The sequence below is a fragment of the Homo sapiens genome, chromosome 3 (genome assembly GCF_000001405.40).
Source record: "Homo sapiens chromosome 3, GRCh38.p14 Primary Assembly".
Classification (NCBI taxonomy): Eukaryota; Metazoa; Chordata; class Mammalia; order Primates; family Hominidae; genus Homo; species Homo sapiens.
In genome coordinates this window covers 175604314-175628494 of record NC_000003.12, presented here as the reverse complement: position 1 = coordinate 175628494, position 24181 = coordinate 175604314, and the positions used below count along the sequence as shown (strand labels likewise).

At 36.2% G+C, this 24181-nt stretch overlaps 1 protein-coding gene and 1 pseudogene across 21 annotated transcripts in view; both read right to left on the bottom strand.

Annotated features, from left to right (window-relative positions):
* The window catches only part of NAALADL2 (N-acetylated alpha-linked acidic dipeptidase like 2), a 1369567-nt gene that overhangs the window by 182054 nt on the left and 1163332 nt on the right, over window positions 1–24181 (bottom strand). For all 21 annotated transcript variants that reach the window (XM_017006077.3, XM_047447876.1, XM_017006075.3 and 18 more), the window contains one exon: window positions 1109–1204. In XM_017006077.3, the coding sequence (XP_016861566.1) occupies window positions 1109–1204 (96 nt within the window). The remainder of the gene's footprint in view (window positions 1–1108; window positions 1205–24181) is intronic.
* Window positions 18882–19016, bottom strand: RNU4-91P (RNA, U4 small nuclear 91, pseudogene; annotated as a pseudogene).

The window sequence follows — 24181 nt, the reverse complement described above, 5'->3', positions numbered from 1 at the left end:
CATGTGATGTCAGGAACATTAAATTTATTTGCTCCATACTGTAAAATTTAATTTTCTTTATGTAATTAACTCACTGCTATAAAAATACACACATTTCACAACTTATGATGGGGTTATGTCCATGATAAGTTGAAAATACCTGTTGAAAATGAATTTAATACAAATAACCTACTGAACATCTTATCTTCGCCCAGCCTATCTTAAATATGCTCAGACACTTACATTAGCCTACAACTGGACAAAATCTAACACAAAGCCTATTTTATAGAAAAAAGTCTTGAATGTCTCATGTAATTTGTCGAATACGGCACTGAAAGTGAAGAACCAAATGGTTGTATGGGTACTTGATGTAGGATTTCTACTAAATGCGTAGTGTTTTTGAACCACCATAAAGTCAAAAAATAGAAAGGTGAACCATTACAAGTTGGGGGACATCTGTATGTTAAAAATATAAGTATGATTGCCATTCAGTAAAAGACTTTCTTACTATCAATGCGGTCTTTTTCATTTTAAAAAGTAGCCTTTTTTTTCTGCAACTAAAAATTATCATAAACAAGTACCTTACCTATTTAAACAAACTATTGAAGACAGAAAAATGCAAAGGTCCACTTTGTATTTCCCCATGATCTAAAGTGAAGAGGTATATTTGATATTATTATACAACTCTACTTTCAGATACATGGCCTGAGATGAATAGAATAACTATAGTGCTTTCCATGTTATCAGCACTGGGATAAGTACTCTCCATATGTCACCTAGTTTAATCAACAGACATACCTATCAGGCAGAAACTATTATTACTCCCTCTTTACAAATGAGAACCAGTGAGTTCCAGCGCTAGCCCAAGATCATACCATGAATAAACTCATTGTTTTATTAAAAATTGATTTGTAATACAAATGATCATACAGACAGTTATGGGTCTGTATGATCTTGAATGAATTATTTATTCCTTAGTAAAATAATAGGATATACTAAAATCCTTTCTTATATATTCTACAAATGAAAATATACGGATTGCTCTTGATTGGTTATGTTCCTTTGCTCCATCTACCAATAAAGAAGAACAAATATTTCTCACCTATTTTTGAATGCATTTCTCCCCTACCTTAGTAATGGTTTCATGAAGGTTGAAAGAGGGATCCATTTCTTCAATTTTTGTTGCTCGTGTAGAAAAACGGGCCTCGGAGAGAAAACTTGGACCCTGCGGCAAATCAAAAAAGAAACATTTAAAACTCTTTATCGATTTTGTTTTTCAAGTGTTTATTGGATTTTCCTTAAAGATTAAAAAGGACTCTAAATTGCCTTAAGGTTTCTGTTGATTGCTGGATTTCATTCTCCTGATCTAACTACCCATCCCAGAATATGTATAAATTAAAATGATCAGACACATCAACTTGTTATGTCCCATCTTGTTTGATAGAATAAATAGATTAATATTTAATTAATTTAGCAATTATAGAAATGTGACAGTTTAGGACAGAAAATCTTAAATATTTGAGGTGAAATGTTTGTGGGACATTCAAAAAATCATCTAATCATCTAGATGGTGTGTGACTATATTGGTCTGAAGTTCAAGACCAAATTCTGAACTGGAGATATAACAATAATTTGAGAAACATTTACATGGTAGTTAAAATGTAATGTGAAACACACGTAGACTTAGAAGTATACTGAGTGTAGAACAGATCTCTGAGTGGTAAGATCTCTGAGTGGCACCAATACTTAAGAGGTGGAAAGATAAAAGCAAAACTCATGAAGATGTTATAGATGGAATTGTCAGAAAAGTATATGGAGAAGCATGTAACTGTTATTCCATGGGAGTCAAAAAGTAGAGACTGGGAATAAATAATCAATACAGGAAAGAAAGCAAGGAAATACAATAAGATTACGGTGAAAATTATGCCTTAGAGGGGGCATTTCGGAGATACCTGGTTTCTTTTGTCAGAGAAGATTCTGTGGAGTTGCGAGAACAGGATACAGAATAAAATCAGGTGAGGAGTAAATATGAGGAGAAGTGAGACATCAACTATGAACTACATTATTCTTTCTAGAAATTAAGATTATCTTGAAAAGTTAAAAAATAGATTACTAGCTAAAGAAAGTTAAAGAATCAACAAAAAGTGTATTCACTGTATTTAAGATAACATTGACATGGACATATTTTCAATGCTAGAGAAAGTACCCAGAAGAGTATTTGTATTAAAAATACAAAAAATATGAGGGATAAATTAATGGGTCATAGTCTTCAGGAAAAGGAATTCAGAGTTCAATAAAGTTACCCAGAAAAACCATTGTAAGTAGATGAACCAATAGAAACAAAGACACTGAAATGAGGGTGGGATGTAAATATGGTGAAATTCAGTGTTAGCACATACATGGAGGAGAAGAAAATATTCCAGGGTCATGTGTAATTACATTCTAGGCTAGAGTGAGTTAACCAAACTTCAACTCACAACCACACCAAAATGAACCCTTTTGCATGTTTTTCAGAAAGAATAATTTAAAACATTTTGTCACATAGGGTTAGTAGCAATTAAATGAACAAAATCAATGCCTTCTCTTTAGTTGGCACTCAAAGATACATGGCCTGAGATGAATAGAATAACTATAGTGCTTTCCATGTATCAGCACTGGGATAAGTACTCTCCATATGTCACCTAGTTTAATCAACAGACATACCTATCAGGCAGAAACTATTATTACTCCCTCTTTACAAATGAGAACCAGTGAGTTCCAGCGCTAGCCCAAGATCATACCATGAATAAATGGTAGACCTCGGGTTCAAACCCAGGTTTATTTGAGGCTACGGCCGACACTTTCATTCCTATATCATGAAACTTCTCTATGGCCAAAGTGATTAATATCCCAAGATTCTGTGTGTTTATGTTAACAAAGATCATTTCCCCACCTTTTATTCCAATTTCCTGCAAGCCTTCATCTATCTACTCTCAACATGCAGCAAAAACACTACGCACAGTTTAAATGATATCATCAAAAACTCCTTGCTTAGACTAAATAAAATTAAATCTAAAAAGTCCCATGTGCACTTCTCGCATTGCAATATTCTCTTTTCTGCAATCAGAAGGCATACACATCAATACTTAAATTTAATATGTGAAATTAAAACACTTGCAAGCAAGCTTTGAATGGCACTGACATTCATAATACGCTGGACAGAGGAAAAAGGTAATAACACCCATAATGTTTGAAACATGACATTCTCATCACTATTCAAAGTAAAATAGACCTGAGGTTATGTGGAGTTTAAATAGAACTGTAACTATCCAAGGGTCAAATGTGGAACAATATTAGCACATTGTTTTCTGAATACACTCGTTTTTATATTACACTTTTCAGGTCCTAGCATTAGCTTTATTCAAAATATTCAAGGCACTTCTGTACTTCTATCTAGGTTGATTTAGTATCCTTATTTTAGACTTGGAAGAGATATTAGAAATGTTAATTCTACCCAAATATACAAAGTAAAACATGAAAAAACAAGTGATTAATAATTCTACAATGTCACAAAATAGTTGTTAGGAACTCGATGCTAGAAATCAACTCTGTGTGTCAGTGTGTACATACATGTGTCTGTGCTTCCTAAACATTTTGCTATTTCTTGTAAAGTACTTTTGAGGTGGGGGTAATTAATTATAATGCCAATCTTAAAAATGTGAATCATTTCAATTAATCCAGATATGTTTTCAGTCTTAAAGTTCTTATATGCCAATAAAATACATCCATTTGATGCAGTATTCATATTTTAGGCTTTCTTCAAGCTAATCTCTGATATCTTTTGCCTTAATCACTGAATGTGTACTTATCCTATGTATTATACATACCATGTGTCATTAGCTACATAATTTATGTTTACGTAATTTTTTGTTACATCACACTTTTTAGTCAGATCAGGAGGTTGGAAAAGCTAAAGGACAACTACAAAGAAATAATAAAAGGTTCACTTAGCAGAGTATTTCACAAATTAAGGCATCTAATAATGAATGCCTTTAATTAATATTTTGAAGGTAAATAATTGAGTGAATAGATATCGCCAAGCTATTAAGCTTTCTTAATAAATATTAAATATTCCATGCAGTAAAATAAGTGATTAGTATTTGTTAATGCTTCCAAATCTGTGCTGTTATTCTAAAAAGAAGAATCCATTTAGGAATGTCTGGCATAAAGATCAGGAAAATGAGGAGGAACTCTGGAAAGTTTGGTTGTATTAATAAGTTGACTTAAAAAAATGACTGAGGCCACTTCCAAGATCCTATTTATCAGCCCCACAAATTCTAAGATCTCATAGCAGTAACTATACAGAGTTTATTATTAACTCTGCATATGAGTCACAGAGAGATCTCTTTTTACATCCTCTCCCTTCAACTTTCTTGAGAATTCTGTTTTGTTTTCGTTTGTTTATTTCTAGCAAAAGAAGAGGAAAAGGCAAACAACTTGTTTGTACCTAACACAGTGCAAGTGACCAATGCAGCATGATTTCACATCAGGAAGGAAAAAAATAATAATATTCCCTGTGTATTTTTTTTTTCATTTACACCTCAAGAGAGTTATCTGAAACCTAGATACCCTTTAGCTTATGCCTCAAAAACAAACAAACAAAAAAACGCCAAGAAACAAAAAACAAACCATCAGCTTATGAGCTAGAAAGATGTTTGAGAACTCAGGAGCATTTTTGTTTTGCTGTCCATATTGATATCACCTATGGCTCTGCACCCCTCTATTCATTCCCTGAGGCTTTATGAGATTCCTTCCTTAACTCTTCCAGATTCTGGTGGCTGTAAATATTATTTAGTTGTAGCTGTGTAGCTCTTCTTTCTGCTTTGTTCTTCACATGACCACCTCCTCTATCTGTCATCTCTTCTCTCTGTTAGAGAAACACTTGTCATAGGATTTTGAGCCCACCCAGTTATCTCAAGATCCATAATTTAATTTTATTTTCACATATCCTTCTTCCATATAAGTTCACATTAACAGGTTCTAAGTTCACTTTAAGATCCAACAACTATCACACTATAATCCCCATGCCTTCAATAAGATTTCTGAACTAAAGCTTGGAAGAGTGCTTCTAAGAGCAGACCTCAAGATTTTAATTCCAGTTCAGACATTTGTCTTCCTTCTCCTCTGTTCAGGACTAACTATAAAATGGAAGTATTTTACATTTATAAAAGAACCTTTAGGTAAGGCACAAATAAAAGCTGTATTAACTAAATAGTTATGGGTTAGCTACAAATAAATTCGGTTTTCTAGATTTGGATGGTGTTTACATGGATATACAATTGTCAAAAGATATCTAACTTAAAAATTAAGATTTATGCATTTTTTTATGCATAAATTATCCCTCAACGTAAAACAACCTTTCTATGGGACATTTCTATTATCCTAAAGAGATCCTTCTTGCCCTTCTTTTTAGGTCAGTTTTAATTAAGTTCTGTTTTTCAAATAATTTGTCTATTTCATCTAAATTGTCCAATATATTGTTTTCAAATTGTTCACAACATCTTCTTATCACCTTTTTAATGGGATCTAGGTTATGTCTTCTATTTTATTGCAGGTATGGGTAATTTTTATCTGCTCTCCTACTCATCTGTTTAAGATTACTAAAACCTTGTCTGCTGTCTCCTTAATCCCATCATTTCTTAAAATTTACTGAGTGTTTTAAGGTTTTATGTGATGCTTTAATACACATTGTGGTTTAAGTTTTAATTTTTATTCATATATAGTATGTGCCCATATTTATGGGGAACATGAGATAAGGGATACAGGTATAGTCCCAACTATTTAAGATTAGTAAACTGTTGTCAATCACCTTCACTTTATGGATGAGAAGACTGAAATTCAGAAGCTTTATCTGACTAGATTCTGCTAGTAAGTGGCAGAATCTGGACTGGAATTCACATCTTCGTCGTCAATCTACTGCTACTTACTCTCCATAACCCTGCATGTCAAGTACTCAGATAAAGCCAGGTTGACAGTCAGTTCCAGATAATACAGAGAACACTATAGAAATTGCAAAACAAAAATAAGAAGTGTTCAAGCCTGTGAAACGAAACTGAATACACTAGAGTTCGTTTTAAGATTTTAAAATTCATGATAAAATTCGTCACGTATATCAATTAAGTGATAGTTGAGCTGTTTTACGGCACTTGTTGAATGAATAGAGGCACAGAATTCTTTGACCTCCCTTTCTGGTTTCTCTACACTTTCCAAGGCTCAACTAGATGAGTATTAAATATAAATGCCTTTTTATTAATGAAATCAATGAAGTCTTTCTTAGGAGCTACAGAAAAGGAAGGCAAAGGATATGTGCAGTTCTAAAGAAAAATATTTTATTAATTTGATAAGTGTTAATACATATCAGAAAATTTCAAGAATTTATAAAATAAATGTATTTATACATAATATTGTTATCCTTTAATTCTTCTGGCATTGCAAATGAAAATAAGAACTTAAAATTTTAGTATGTGGTAGCAATAATAGGAAACTGAAACAAAGTCAAGAAGCTGTTATCTAGAAAACTATGAGTTCAATAATAGCAATTTCTGTAGCTACAATTTGCTGAGTGCCTGTGTACTGTACTGTCAGCCAGTGTCTACTTAGGTACAGTTATCCTTTGATATACTTGGGAAATTTGTTCTAGAACTCCTGTGGGCACCAAAACAGATGCTCAACTCCCTTACATAAAATGGTATAGTATTTGCATATAATCTACACACACACTCTAGTATATTTTGTATCATCTCTAGATTACTTATAAGACTTAATACATTGTAAATACTATGTAAATAGTTGTTATATTTTTTATTTATAGTATTTTTCTTATTGTAGTATTGTTCTATTGTGTTTTTGAAAGTATTTTAGATCCAATCTTGGTTGAATCTGTGGATGCAGAACTTGCAGAAATGTAGGGCCAACCGTATTTCCGCATGGAGAATTTTCTGAGGAAATTTTACCGGAAACTGTATTAGAGGCCAAGCCTTGGTAATTAAATAATGGCTGAATAGATGGAGAAACCCAGAGAATTACCTAGATGGAGGTATATGTTTACACTTGAAAGGGGTATAAAACCCAGAACCATGGAAATATTACATTCATAACAATGCCTAACATAGGTAACATTACATTGCAAAGGGTAGGTACTCCCAGACCTTTCCCTTTATTCCTAAGTAGAATTTGTTGCCTTAGGAAAATTAACTTTCTCTCCCTCTCTTAGGAGGGGGAATGGGTGATGGTGACATGTGTATGATAGCGCAGGAGACAGACAAATTCCTAGACAGACAGGAACGGGTCCCCAGTGAAACCTGACCTTCAAGCCAAAGACCGTTTAAAGCCGGAAAACCGAGCTGCCGGTTTTACGTAGAATCCGTGACGGAGTGAGAGCTTCTGTTCCTGTTTGCCCACTCTTTCCTGACTGGTCGTTTCCGAATAATGCTTTTTAACCAACTGAATGTTGCCTTTTCCAAAAATACCTCCGGTCAGAGCCTCCTTATTCCAAACCTATAAAAACCCTAGACAGCCTCACAGACTTACCCGCTTTTGGGTCCCCTCTTGAAGCTGAGGGCTACCCACTTCAGGTCGCCTTTTGCAGCTGAAAACTTTCCTTCTTTCACTCAAACTTCTATTCTTCCTTATTTGCTATCCTGTGTCCGCATACCTCATTTCTCTTGGTCACAGGACAAGAACCTGTAACCTGCCAGATTGCAGGCACGAAAAGAGCGGCAACATGTGCAGGCACGAAGAGAGCGGCAACATGTACCCGTTCCAGGTGGTAAGAACAAGAGAGCTGTGACATGCCCCTGTTCGCTGAGCTGCAGGCAGCAGGAACAAGAGAGCTGTAACACACCCCCTCCTGCTCGCCGAATTGCGGGAGTGAAAAAGCCACTGAGTGTTACTCCTTTCTGCCTGCCGATCTGTGAGTGGCAGGAATAAATGGGCTTGTAATATGCTCCCAAGCAGTGGACTATGGGAGAAAGAGCAGCAAAACTTCTGGGGGCCGAGACCCCGGGACTCCCCGAGCTATAGCTGTAACACCCCTTAGGGATCTGTGATTGCTGGCATCTCTTTTAGTTTTCGGGTGCCATTGCATTCCCCTCATCTTGACGCTGGCGCCCAACGTGGATGCTGGTTGCAGCACACCCAGCTCAGCTGCGTGCTAAGCGTGGAGCCATGGCAGGGGCGGAATCCCAGCGAGCAAGAGCTGAGTGCAGCCTGCCAGGTCGAGTGGGCGAAGTGAGCCTGGTGGGCCCAAGTGAGGTCCCAGGTAGAGGTTGCAGCAGCCACAGAGATTTCTGGCTGGCAAAGTGGCACCAAAGGAATCCTATGTCATTTCTGGGGGCTCATCTGGGATTGGTGGAAGGGTAAGTGCAAACCTATTACTTTTTAATTCCAATTTTTTTTTTTTTCCAAAAAGAGATAAAAATTCTCGCCCCTGTAAGCCAGTTAAGAGTGAGTAGCGTGCCTGCCATTTTTCAGACTTGGAGGAGAGGCTTGCTGGGGAGGACTTTGTCAATTCTCCATCACCCCTCGGGGGGTTGGGCATGTTGGCTTTTTTCCAATCCAGTTTGGCTTCATAGAGGTCTAGCCATCACGTGGGATCAGAATAAGGTCCTGGCCCAAGCTACACCTTGGCATTACTTGAAGGTTCCTGGACTGGCTTCAGTCCCCAACAGTCCATTATGGTGTCAGCACTAGGACCTCCAGTCTTTCCTATCACATTTTCTTTCTTTCCTTTATGGCTGTTAGGGCTCCTATGTGTTCTTATATACAATGTTAAGGGTGTCGTTGCAAACCACAGAGACAATATAACTGAGTAGAATGTGCACTTGGCTCAGTCATCAGGAGTGTAATTCAGAACAATGTGGTTTCTGTCTATTCTTAGAAGCAAGGAGAATATAATGATTGAGAGTTTTCTTTCCCTTGTTGAAAAAATCCATTAGCATAGAGCAAGAGGCTATTTCCCCCAGGCACCTTCCCTCCTCTGCATTTAAGTTGTTTTTTTTTTTTTTCCCACCATGTTAGGAATCAACATAGTCCTGCAAATACTAGAAGAAGGTTTTCTATGCAATGGATTATTTTTTTTTCCTTTTGGGAGGCAATCTTGTTAGTGCAGGTCCCCAATTCCTGGGATTCATTCTTTCTTTGCTTTGCTTTTCTTTCTTTCTTACTTTTTCTTTCTCTTCCTTCCTTCCTTCTTTCTTTCTTTCCTTCTCCTTCCTTCCTTCCTTCCTTCCTTCCTTCCTTTCTTTCTTTCTCTCTTTCTCTCTTTTTTTTTGTCTGAGGAGAATCTGGTTCAACAGCTTCACTTTAGCATACTGCTTGTGATAGGGAAGCAATGGAGGAGATGCTCCACCAGTTGTTGGCTGCAATTTAGCAAGGGCCACTTGGCACAAATTTAATGGCTCCATACACCCTCCAGAGGCGCCTTTTTGTCCCAGATTCTATTCCAAGGTTCAGTCTGAAGCCCTAAAAGAAAATCAGATCTGAGGGATCCAGAGGCAGTCAACAGTAGAAGGCTAGGGCACAGCCCAGGTGAGCATGACTATCCCTTCTGACTCGGTCTTCCCACTTCATGGGTGGAGAACTCGTGCACATCCATGGTATAGATGAGGTATACGGAACCCAAAGGTTACCAACAGCGGAAAGCCAGGGCACGGTGTAGGTAAGTGTGACTATCTCTACTTACTAGGCCTTCCCTCTTCATGGGTGGAATTCGCACTCACATTCCTGGGCAGCACTTGCAAGGGCGCTGGGACCCTGGTAATATAGGGAAAAAAAGAGAAGAAAAGGGACACCTTTTCTCTCTCTCCCTCCATCCTGTGTCACTCCAAAAGGAGGAAGGCGACTAAGGGATGCCTTTCTCCCCTCTCTTTCCAGATGAATAAGCAACCTTCTTCAGCCTGCACTCCTCAAGTGCATGCTGAATCACTAGAACTCCTTTGACTCTCAGACCCTAGAGGAAAAAAATGCTTTATATTCCTTTGCATAAGGGTTTGGTCAAGTTATAAGCTGCAAAGGGCAATCCCAAGGGAATAGGGAAGCAAACTGCAGAGATGTCTCCAGCAGGGGAATCAGTTCCCTTTGGTCCTACTCCTCCTAGTCCACCCCTTTCTCCCTACCCAGGTTGTCTCTCAAGCTTGTCTGATCCTAGAAATCCTCGTTTCAGGCAGGTCCTGACCTCACTTCTGCTCCTACAAGAGATGCCTTGTGAATATGTCCCCATTAAAGTCCAGGTCCCCTTTTCTCTACAGGACGTAAGCCAAATTAAGGGGGTTCCTGGCAAGTTTTCAGACAACCGTGACAGGTATATAGAGGCTTTCCAGAATTTAACTCAAGTATTTGAAATTTCCTGAAAGGACAATATGTTACTTTTGAATCAAACCCTGACTACTGCTGAGAAGGAGGTTGCCCTGCAAGCAGCAGAGAAGTTTGGGGATGAGTTTTTTATCTCATATAGTGCCAAGGAAGGGGATGAGCCTTATCCAATTGGAAGAACAGCAGTACCATTGGAGGACCCTACATGGGACCCCGATGATGAAATGGGAGAATGGAAGAGGAAACACTTTCAGGTGTGCATACTGGAGGGCTTACGTAAGACTAGAACTAAGCCTCTCAATTACTCCAAACTATCCACAACAGACCAGAGATCAGATGAGAATCTCACTGCCTTCCCAGAAGGGCTGAGAGAGGCCTTGGTAAAGCTTCTCTAGCTCCTGATTCAGTTGAAGGACACTTAATCCTAAAGTACAAGTTTATTACTCAGGTGGCCCTTGATATCAGGAGGAAGCTACAGAAACAGGCCATAGGACCAGATAGTGCTCTGAAAGTGGCCACGTTAGTCTTTTAGAATAGGGTTGGGAGGAGGCCCAAGAGAGGGAAAATAGATGCAAGAAAAAGACAGAGGCTCTAATGGCTGCCTGGCAGGCTTACAAACCCCAGAATCCCTGAGATGCACCTGGTAACTGCTACAAATGTGTCAAGCCAAGGCACTTTAGGAAGGACTGCCCAGGCAGCATGAGGAAGCCGCCTCCACCCTGTCCAATCTGTGATGGGGACAACTGGAGGGTGGACTGTTCCCGAGATACAAGTCACAGGGTCCAGAGCCAGTCTTTCAAATGGTCCAGCAGGACCAAATGGGTCCCAGCACTCCTCTCCCTAGCTCCAATGGTTCAGACCACCATTACCATCCAGGAGTCCCAGGTGATTCTGGAGGTCGAAGGAAGGAAGGTGGACTTCCTCCAGAGTAACCATTTCTGTTCTCCTCTTCAATCCAGGCCTCCCCTCCTCCCTTAGCATGACTGTGAGTGACATCTCAGGAAAGCCTTTAACCTGATATTTTTCCCAATGCCTTAGTTGTAGTTGAGGAGACCTCTTGTTTTACTCACGCCTTTTTAATCATGTTTGAAAGCCCAACTCCTCTGCTAGGTGGGGATATTTTAGTTCCTATGGGAACTACCATCCTCATGACTCCAGGACAGATTCTTCTTCTCCCTTTGGTGGACTCAGACATTAATCCAGAAGCTTGGGCAACTCAAGGGAAAATTCGCTGAACCGCAACCGCCATACTGATCCAGATCTACCTTAGGGGTCCCACCTCCTCCCTAACCAAAGACAATATCCCTTAAAAGCAGAAGCTACGAAAGGGCTAGAAGCCATGGGCAATAACTTGAGGATGCAGGGCCTCCTCAAACCCTGCAACAGCCCTTGTATTACCCCAATATTGGGGGTACAGAAACCCACAAACTGAACATGGAATCGCAGAGGGTCTGGGATCCAAGTTGGCACAAGGGAGTGCAGCCTGCTGGGTTGAGCAGGTGGAGCAAGCCCAGGGGTCCCCAGGCCCCAGGCAGAGGTCACGGCATTGCAGAGATTTCCAGCTTGCGAAGTGGCACTGAAGGAATTCTGTGTCACATATACACTCCCAGATTCATATTTTCAGAGTTCCTACATTGTACTATGGCATGCAATCTCTTCTAGCTGGCTCTTATTCCCTCACTCTAGAAAGAGCAAAAAAATGAGATGTAAGTAATGACTCTGATCTCTGCTCCAGAAACCTAATGTTTATATTCAGAATAATGTAAATATATGTAGATTTTTTAAACGTGAGTACTACTGATTTAATAGTGATAGCAATAATAATGTTATTTATTATATTTATTTAGATTTATTTAAACATTTATTTATATTCATATTTATTATATTTATAATTAAATATAAATGGATGTGTTGAATACATACAATAATTCTAAAATGTAAATATTAAATGTATATATTTTGAATATGATTGCTTGTAATAAAATATAGACACATTTATATTATATAAAACATATATCATTTATATAATATATCAAACTTATCTGTGATATATACGATAAATATTCCTTTTATTAAAATGACTATAAATAACATATACTAAAATATATCATATTATATATAATACATATTACAGTATATGTAATATATAAATATGTATTATAATTATGTATATATGATATAATATATATTATAAGTAACATGCTATATAATATATACTATATAACATACATAATCATATGTAATAATATAAATATATATTATACGTATTTTATATACATATATATTATACATATATATATATATTTTTTGAGACAGAGTCTCCCTCTGTCACCCAGGCTGGAGTGCAGTGGTGCAATCTGGGCTCACTGCACCCACCGCATCCTGAGTTCAAGTGATTCTCCTGCCTCAGCCTCCCAAGTAGCTGGGACTACAGGTGCGTGCCACACGCCTGGCTGATTTTTGTGTTTTTAGTAGAGACGAGGCTTCACCATGATGGTCAGGCTGGCCTTGAACTCCTGACTTCCAGTGATCCTCCTACCTTGGCCCCCCAAGGTGCTGGGATTACAGATATGAGCCATCATGCCCGGCCAATACTAATAAATATTATTAAAGATTTAGCAATATTTATTGAATATTTGCTTTATGGCAAGTTGCTTAAATTATCTGTGCCTCAGTTTTCTCATCTATAAAATGGATACCAATAATTTTATCTCTCATAAAATCATCATAGGGATTTCAGGACACAATATATGTAAAATTCTTAAAAATAATGTCTAGAACTATTTATTCATCAAACAATTTTTTTCAGAAAGGTATTTATTATTTTTCCCAATATGCAGATTAAGGAAAGAGGCTTACAAGGGTGAAGAAATCTGCCTAATGAAATACATCTACTCATTGGTAGAATTTTAATGCAAGCATAGGACTCACTTATTCTGAGTTAATTCAGTGGTCATTAAATGCCAATTCATAGGGTGGTGCTGTAGCTCAGTGCATAACAAAATGACAATGATAATAATAATGCAGAAAGTTATTTTTTCATAAAACTAAATATATTCTAATCAAAGAGCTGTCCTTTTTCCTGAAGTTGTGTTTTCAGCTGTCTTTTGATATTAAAATATTTCTTCTCTCATGAAATAAATTGAGAGTAGATTGCTGTTTTGTTGTTTACTTGTTTTGTCCTAACCTGCTTACTTGGTAAATTTACAGTTGGCATTCTAGGTCAATCTCAGAATTTCTGTTTTATGATTCATTTCATTTGTCCTAAAGAATTAATTAATATCTAAGAAGTACTTATTAAATCTTTTAGGCCTTTGTCATGCCAGTTTTAGAAATTAAAAAAATTGATTTTCAGCAAATTTATTTAATTTTTTATAGTTGCATATCTTGTGTCAGGACTGAAATTTCAACCTTGATCAGCTGAGTTTTATGCATGCACTCATATTCAAAACACTATATCCAAATATTCTTCTCCTTCAATAATAAATAGCCTTAGAAGGTTAGTAGGCAGTTTCATGACTTCAAAACAATAAACAAAACACTAACCTGAATCACTTTTCTATAGATATAATAGCTACACAGCAAAATGTCAAGATAATACAGATTTTCTGATAGGCAGGAGGCTTAACAGAGTTTTCAATATATATGCTAAATACTACCTGCTAGAATGTCACAATGCTATCAACACTTAAAAATAATCTGATCATAAAATATGTATTATAATTTAAGCTAGAGCTTCTAAACATTTTCAAGCCAAGTGTCATTCAAAAATAAATACTAAATATCTAGATTGTTTAAGAGATTCTGGCACGCCAGGCCGAGGGTGGTGGCTCACGCCTATCATCTCAGCACTTTGGGAGGCCGAGGCGGGCAGATCATGAGTTCAAGAGTTCGAGACCAGCCTGGCCAACATGGTGAAACCTGGTCTCTACTAAAAATACAAAAGTTAACCAGGTATGGTGGCTCGCACCTGTAATCTCAGCTACTCAGGAGGATGAGGCAGGAGAATTGCTTGAACCCCGGAGGTGGAGGTTGCGGTGAGCTGAGATTGTGCCACTGCATTCCAACCTGGGTGACGGAGCAAGACTCCGTCTTGGGAAAAAGAAAAGAGACAGATTCTGGCATGCCTACTTTGTGAGAGCAGTATATTGTGGGATATTGTATATCTCTTGAGAATCACTGATGTGTAAAAGGTATATGTTTACCTACAGATATTCCCCAAAGAGAATATCTATAGATGGATATATCCTAATGTATGGGAGATTATGTCAATCCTTGTATTCTATAACATGAATTGAAAAAATATTTTATGTATTATGAATAATGGCAAATGATGCTAAAATACATTGTAATAGTAGCTCAATTAACCCTCAGAAAAATCCTGTGAAGTAAATGTTATTATTATCCCAATTTTATAGATGAAGAAACTGAGGTACAGTGAGTTCGAATATCTTGCCCAAGCAGTAAAACCAGGAAATCATCACAGGCATTATCTGTGCTCTTAACCATTTGAAAATACATTGTCTATACTATAGACAATAGCCAAATGAAACATATGATTGACTTTATATTTAATACAGTCAGATGTCCCTGGATAAATTATGCATTTCTATTCCTGCTAAATTATAATGTAGTAATGATTGTTGAGAATCATCTCAGGTGAGAAAAAATAAAATGTATGTTCATTTCATATAAATTTCAGACATGAATAAAATACACTACGATGCATAATGTTGTAATTTAAAATCTTCGCTTGCCCATTCTTCAGTAATTTTAAGTCTATGCACTACTTTATCGTATTTCAATTTTTAAGACAGAACATATGAAAATATAACTTTCCAAAATATTTTGGATCATTTCACTAACTAGTAAGCAAGTAGATATCTTTCTTTTCACATGGAGTTTGGACTGTTTAGTAAAGGAATTAGTACCATAACGTTAAGTCATTAAATGGTTAACTGAGAGCTCTTTTCTCTTTAGCTTCTCTCCTTTCTTTGGGGAGATAGATGTTCTGCATATCAGACACACCAAGAGATGATTCTATAACTATTTAACACCCAGTCATCTGAAGTCCTGGAGGAGGGTCCAGGAGGAGTCATTATGGATGAGGGAAAGACACGCCAAAGTCTCAGAGCCCTAGCTGTTTACCAACTCTGCTAACATATTTTGTTGTAAGTGATTCAGCTCTCAGTGGTGGATCCCGGCTATCCCTGGGGTAGAGGTGCCACACCCAGCGTCATGGTAACACAATGAATAAAATTATTAACATACAAAATTACATTTTATGTATCATTGAGAATGCAGAACGTACACAAATAAATTGCAAGGTAGGAAAAGAAAAAATGATATTCTCAAATTTGGGGTGGTGAGGAGGAGAAATTGTCTCAATCATAAGAAATCCAAACTTTAATGCAGTCTTAGTATTAATAAAACCTGGTCTCTCTGGTAAAGCCTCAAGTCAATTTAACAACAGCATTTTTTTTTGAGGTCAGAGCCTGTTAGCCTCTTGAAAAGCTTTCTGTTTAACAGTCAGTCAGGGCTTTTCTCAGGGCTGTATTTAATCAACTCTGAAAGAAATGGGGGATTTAAAGGTCTTAAAGTTAAGGGCAAAAGAATCTAAACATCGGGTTAAGAAGAAACAAATACATTCGTCAAATCCTGAGAAAGATATTATAGCCCTTCAAGGTCCTTTGGCCAAGAATAGGAAGAGAGTACCTTTATATCATGACCTCATGTTTCATAATCTGGGTGAAAACACCCAGGGAAATGAAACCAGGAACAACAGCTTATCTAGATTTTATCACTTACTGTACTACTCATTGTTATTTGAAAATCTTTTTGTCAAATATTAAGCCCAATATGTAAAATTGTGCAGAAATAAGACAGACACCATTCTAGAAATGAATGGTTGTTTAAATCTGTCCCAACTGTCCTTCCCTCTTCTCCTGTAGCTCACCCCATGGGATTTCATTTGGCAACATATGAATGACTTCATATTAATACAGTCAGATGTCGCTGGATAAATTATGTATATATTTCTATTCCTGCTACTACTTACCAAGGGCTAAATGCAAGTCTTTATTTTTCTATGTATTTCTAGGGAGTACAGATAGATTTAATTTCAAAGGCTAAGAATATTTCTGGAATATCTGTAATTTAGGGCAATGTTTTCCTTTAGCTAAATCCATTTATTTTAATCATTCTTTTCATTTATTCAACTGGAAATCAATAAAGGCACTAAATTAATTCTGCAATTCACTAAAGCAAAAATTCCATTTAACTGAATGAATAGTTGTTAAAGAAAGCCACTATTTTAGCCCCAGTGGATAAAACATGTATGGCTTAGTTTGTCTCTCAATGAGTGTCTCTGAAGACTATATACCATGCTTCACTTCAACAAATTATCCAACCTCCAACATAGAACAGACTATTTCCTTTGTAAATTAAAATATAAAGAAAGAAAATATGCTTTTAGTTGATTTCTGATAGCATCTTTCCTTAATTTTCATTTGAGAATAATCAGTTATCTCGATTTTCTCCAGTCCTAATTTAATGACAGTGAAATTAAAAAGACATTGATGTTCTACTTTTCAAACAATGGATCACTTCTGATTAAACTTCAATTGAACATTAAACTTCTAGACTTAAAACAAATTGCCTCTTTTTTCTTTTTAACTTGGACCCAATTTCCTGCTGCCCTCAGGTCTCTCAATGGTAATTAATTGATTTATGAATCAATTGAAGGGCGATTTCAAGTTGGAAAAAAAATAGAAAAACTGTTTCTTTTAACAAAATTTATGACCAATATTTTACAAATGACAATTCTCTCTCAAGTTAACTATTTATCAGTGAGCAAATTTCACATTTATAAGGTATTTTTTAAAAAGTTGAGTGTGCAAATTTAATTTCACTTGAAATTATTATTTGCCTTTGTAAAAGTGCCTTAATCAAAGTACCACATCTAACTATACAATCATTAAGTTATCTTATTGTGATTTAATAGAATAAGCAAATCTGAAGAGCAATAATTCTCACAAAACTCTCCATACAGATAGCATGGTAGACTTAGCTAAGTAGAAATCTGGGGCCTGGGTTTAAATTCTAGCTCTGCTACTCACCATTGTTGACTTTAATTATGCACTTTAGCTCTCTGAAGTCAGTTTCTCACCTGTAATATTGGGATCTTGATATCACCTTCAGAGTGCTATTGTATATTGTTATTATATTTGCATATACGGCATACTGTATTTTCATCATATCTATACTAACAGTTATATATTAATATTCAATATTATTAAACGAGAACAATGAGCAAAACACTCAGAATGGTTGCTGGCACAGAGAACTGTTCAGTAAATGCCAACACATTATTATTATTATATTAGTGGATCTTATTAAACTGCATCTCCAGTGCTTAGTATTTCTTCAGATACACTGATAAACATGTTCATGTGAATGCAATGTCTCTGAATCTTTATCAGAAACACACATGATCAAAAATTCCACACAAAAGGGAAGAAGATGGTAAGATGGCTTTATGGCTCAAAAATGTCCAGAATATTTGATAGAATTTTTACAGTATTATTTGTGGATTAAAAATTCAACATAGTAAATAATGGTAATTCATTGGAAGACCAGAAAACTAGAATACAATGGCTTAAGATCCTGAGAATAAAGTATCATAGCCATCTGTGTGGTCATGAGAAAAATTCTTAAATATTTTCATCCTTTCTCCCTCATCTGTAACAGTTCAACAAATGTTTATTATGCTACAGGTCATTATCTGTACATTGAACATGTAAAAAAAAACACAGTCATTGACATTGTTAAATAAACAAAAAAGAAGAGAGAACAGAATATATAAACACACAGAAATGTAGATAAATGCCATTAGCTATCAGATTGTTGTTTGCAGAACAACTCTCATTTCCCAATTTGCTAAGAAAGCTAGAAAAATCTACTTACATAGGGTGATCCTCTATGTTTTCCTACTTGTATTTAAATGAGATCATATATGTTTAAGTCCTTAATGTGTAAATGGATAAGAGTGAAATCTCAACAAACACAAGTTTATTAACAATTTTTAGAAATTAATTTTTAGCTTCCTATTTTAAATTTAGAATTGATATTTGAGGGCTGGAAAAGATATTATAAATTAGGTAAATTCCTTTTTTTTTACATTGAAAAGAACTAGCATAAAGAAGGTGACTGATTTACCCAGTATAAAGAGAACTAATGTGTGGGACAGCTCAGGATAGACTTTGAGAGACTGGTGCTTGTTCTAGTCACCATAGTGCCACTTAATAATGCCAAGTACCCTTCCTAAACTCCTCATCAAAACTGCAAGTCGTTCACAATACAAAGGTGACTAGTGACTAGCAGTTGGAAGGGAGATGGGAGAGGGAAGAAGTGTGTAAGTTAATTTCCCCTCTGCTATGCTGTCCAGCATCTAGAGTTTTGTCCATTGCTTAGTTCATACACTGTAATGAAAGAAAAAAGGTTGAGAATAAACAAAATATGAGCTCTGGTAATGTGTTCATTATAACAATAGTCCCCAAAATGGAAGAATTACATACACAGTCACAAATATGCCTATGTAAGTAAACTACAAAGATTTAGTTTTCAATTAGCAATAATCGCGCTTCGGATAAACCTCATTGGCTACGATACTGCCACTGCACAAAGCTAACTACAAAGATTTAAAAAAGGAAAGAAACATATTCCATATCTTAAAAAAAAGTCATATATACTATAAATATGACAATGATATAAATACTACACATATGTATTTTAACATTCTTCAATGGAAATCTTTTCTATGCTTCCTTTAATAAAGCCATTCTAATTTCTAAATGGAGGTCTTATTTATATTAATATCCTTAAAAATTCTATGTTCTTTGTACACTTCTCATTGCTTCCAATGTTTCAGACTACACTTTTTTTTCCTACTGGCTGTCTCAGTTGAATTGTGATGATGAGGCCAAAATCAGTGTTCAATCTCTATGTGGGCCAATAGACCTGTCACTGAAAACCTTTTGTTAATCTGGGTGTCTATTTTCATTCTATTTCATGATCCTGCAATTATACACTGCTGCTCCAAAGTGAAACTGGCTCAACACAGAAAGAGCGCTTAGTACAAACAATTACTACTACTAAAAAAAAAAAAAAATCACACTGGGCCTTGGATCAAGACGATTATCTCTTTGGTATGTTTTATGGTGATAGCTCAGAATAGTGGTACACATCAGCATTTATTTTGTTTGGTAAATATTTTACAAATAATAAAAGTCAATTATATAAATAAAAGGTAAGCTATGCATAGTGGCAAAACGGTAACATTTGCAATTTCAATTATGATACCACTCGGAAGCAATTTATGCTTTGCATATTATAGACATTCACTAAGCTTGTGATGGAAAAATGAAGGATCAGTATAGTTTCCATGAATTTAACCTATTATACAACTGAGAATACTATTAAATCAACTTATATCTAAAAGACTCATTGTTTCCCAAATTTCATAACTCCTACACGATCGTTATAACAATGTTTAAAGGATTGTCTCATTTTGCATTCAGGATGTATGCCAAAGTCTGTGGAAGCATGAAGGCGAAAAACACACTGGGAGAGAGGATAAAAAGAAGAGCAGAACAAAAGTACCTCCTGTGTCTGCACTGCAGGCTCTCTGTGTCTTTATAGAATGGATTTCCTGTTCAATAAATAAAGCGCTGGACACGGAACATATTGTGCAGATAAACTGCTTATAATAAATTTTATATTGTGGAAATTTTTTAAAACAGAAAATGCAGATTTAGGAAAAAGTGGAGCTAATCTTCATTAAAAGATTAAAAGAGGAACAATATTTTAATAAAAATGATGTTTTGAATAAATTAGCCCATAGTCCACAATCTGAAAATGGAAAGTATTCTAGAACTTCAGATTGTGGACTATGGGCTAATTTATTCAAAATTAAATGCCATGTCCCACAGATGTCATTATTAATTAATTAATTTCTCACTTAGTGGAAATAAGTAATTAATAATAACATCTGTGGGACATGATATTTGAGTGGCCACACATTCTGGTAGCAATGGGAATCAAATGATAGGATTCTAATCCAGGTTTTGTCACTGACATAGTGACCTCGGGCAAAAATCCTTAGCATTATTGCCCTTGAGTTTTTAGTTAATATGGTATAATTCTAAATTTCTCAAATTTCAGATTGAATATGATGTGTGTGTGCGTGTGTGTGCGTGTGTGTGTGTGTTCCATGTCACCTGCTCTTCTGTCTCTAACCCATTGTTTCTCATTCCTAGCTGCTCATTAGAATCACTTGGATTAAAACTCACGGATGCTTGAAATTCATCCAGAACAATTAAAACTGAATAATAAGATTGATCTTAAAAGATACATTTTCACAAAATCCTTTATTAAGAGTCAACGTCTTCCCTCTTTTACAGGTGTGATCAAGAAGCATAATCACATGTTTTTAAGGAATGCCAGTTTATAACCAATTTGAACTACTCGGTAGTTGTTAACTGATTTTCTAACATTTCAAACGATGGTTTACTACCCTTGAAAAAACAGGAACTAGTAAGTCATATATTGACCCCTCCACACCACCTTTATTTCTGTATACTCTATTGCCTTTGCCCATAAAATAGAGATTAGGTTATTTATGGTGTATATGTAAATCTATCAAGGATTACACAGATGTGATTCTGTCTCAAATTATGAGTTGAAAAAGTTTTTGATATGACAAAATATGTATAAAGTTAGCAGAGTGGAAGGAAAAAAGCATAATTATGAATTATACACATACTACTATCATTCATGTAAAATACTTAGAAAACATCTGAGAAAAATACAATAAAATGTAACAATGAATATGAGATTATAAATTTCTTTTTCTCTTTATACTATTATTTGCTTTCCATTTCTTTAGCATGTGTGCATATTATATTTACAAATAACACTTGAATTTAAAAAATATATAATCTAAGTTCAATGGAACACTCATCTGAAAAACATTTGGCTTAATGCCAGAATTTTCTTCAGGTTCAAAAAGAAGCCAAACTTCACAATACACCTTCTTACTCTCTCTGTGTAATTTTCTTTCATACATTCATTGAATGAGCTGCAGTTCAATAGCTTTTGTGGTCTTCTTTTTCTCTCCACTTGGTGTGGTATAAAAGATATTTCAAAAAAATAAATACAAGCAACTCAATTGCTTGTTAAATTTTATGTTAAGGATATGTACTGATCCAGCAAAATTACCACAGACAGCCACACATGCTGCTGAAATGTAAGCTTCCCTGCCCACCTGTCTACAGGAAAAGCAAGTGGTGACTCAAAATTGCTTTGCTCTTCTCTGACACTTCAGCTAGAAAACTAAGACCAAGGAACAGAAGTATGCTAGGTTTTCCTTACACTCTTCTGTTTGCCTCAAGTAGAAGCGAATCATGATATGGATTTAGAATAAATTAAATACAGTCCATTCAAGTATCTGAATGCACAGCTGGGATTCAAAGGCTGTAGATGCTACATCTGTTGCTCTACCAGAAAGATCTGTTAGTGAATAGCTAGTGGTTTCAGCTGTAAGGAGTTCCGCAATATTACACCTCAAATATTATGTATATTTTAGGTGAATTTAAGCTTAAAGAAAATATCTTTTGCCCTTAAGGTGACAAAATAGATTTTTTTTGTTATTCCCTTTCTCCCTCAGTTATTTTCTGACATCCGCAGCAGCAAAGGCGTTTTCATATACAAAAAAAAAAAGGCTAGTTTCTCTGACTTTACTTAGACTAGCAAAAAAGGGAAACCAATACTTCCTTTTCCTCTAAATATCAGGATTGGGATTTGCTCTTCCAGTGGCTTTGCTTTTCTATCAAGTATCCCTCATCAAACTGGTAGTAACAGCACCTGTTTTTAACCAAGGTGCTGGGCATGAAACCTTCATTTCTACTGAGGTTTTCCTCAGACTTAAATACTTTGGCACTTTAAAAAGAAATAGATCAACAACCTCTGGAGACACAAGGCTTCTTTTGTTCTGTTGCTCTTTGTTCCTTTCCCTTTGTCCCTTCTGAGGACATACAACATCGTAGTGATGTAAAGAACAGTTGCTAAAACTTGCTGAGAGGTCCAAGTAGCTAAGCAGGCTTGAAGAATGTCGTCATAGATTCTCTTCCTCACCAGTCTTGTGACAAATATTTTCCTTTGGGTTGCTGTTTTCCACCAAAGGATACTGAGCTACAGGGCAATACTCTGAAGAAAGTAGTTATTTTATTCACCCTGAGTATATGCTCTAGTGATGCAATTTGTAGTCCAATAATTTATGAATTAGCACAGATATTAATATAGGGAGCAATGTACTATCCCAAAAATTTAAAACCAGGAGTCTGTGCTGTAAAATTATAATTAAATGTTATCTAAATACAGGTTTAAAAAAACAGCAATACACAGTTAATCTATGCTGTAGAATTATAATTACGTGTTATCTAAATACAGTTAAAAAAAAAAAAAAAACAAGCAATATACATCTAGGTGTCCTCAGCCTGAGGAGTGAATGAAGGCTGGGGAAGGAGGAAGAGTAAAACATATGCTTACATTGAAAGAGGAGGCAAATAAGCCTATCTTTTTCCTTCCTCCAAATTTAAATTATCTTTTTTCTGACCAACTCAGTTACCAGAATGAGGTCTTCAGTCTGCATTATACATAAATACATAATTTTATTTCCCCATAAGAGTTTCCCTACTTCCTGCTGATGCACTGCAATATCTTTTTTTTAATGGGAATAAAATCTTTCCCATCCATATCTAGAAATAAAAGCTTAGAAAACATATGTAGATTTGAGCAAACATTAACTAAAAAATCATTGCCACAGACTTTCTTTCAAGGTGCACAAATGACTCATGTCAGATTGCTGTATAGAACTCAGAAGGAAAGACCCTAAAGGAGTCCTTATTGAGGGAGGAACAAATGAGCTGCAAAGGGTCTGGTGGCATTGAGGTCATGAGTAGATGAATGACATCAGATCTCTGCTGATTCTGGTAAGAGTGTGGGTACTAGCAAGCACAAAAGGTAAAAGGCTTTCTTCATAAAGGAATAGCTAGAGAATGAACAATTTTTATGATTTGGGAATCCTGTACTTAGCTCCAACTCAGTATGAATAAGCAGAACCTGTGATACCGTCTAAGCCATGGATTATCCAGAGTTATAGGACTCATGCTAATCAGCACTGCCACCATATCCTCACTGCCAATCTCTCTTGCCTAGACTATTGCAGTAGCCCTCCAATTGGTCTTCATCATTATTGTCCATCTTGTGCTTCAACATTGAAGCCACTTTTCTAAAATGGATACCTGATAAGGATGTTTTCATGCTTAAAATCTTTTAATTTTCACTGATTCATATAAAGAATGAAACCCTGAGCATTATATAGATAGTGGTTCAGGCAGAAATATGTAACCTGTACCTAATCAAGAGGAAAAATTAGACAAACCCAAAATGAGGACTATTTTATTAAAACAGTAGAAGAAATGGGAAGACTTTAAAAAAATTTCGGCTGGGCGTGGTGCCTCACGCCTGGAATCCCAGCACTGTGGGAGGCTGAGGCAGGTGGATCATGAGGTCAGGAGATCAAGACCATCCTGGCTAACACGGTGAAACCCCGTCTCTACTAAAAAGACAAAAAAATTAGCCAGGCGTGGTGGTGGGTGCCTGTAGTCCCAGCTACTCGGGAGGCTGAGGCAGGAGAATGGTGTGAACCCGGGAGGCGGAGCTTGCAGTGAGCGGAGATGGCACCACTGTACTCCAGCCAGGGCAACACAGCGAGACTCTGTCTCAAAAAAAA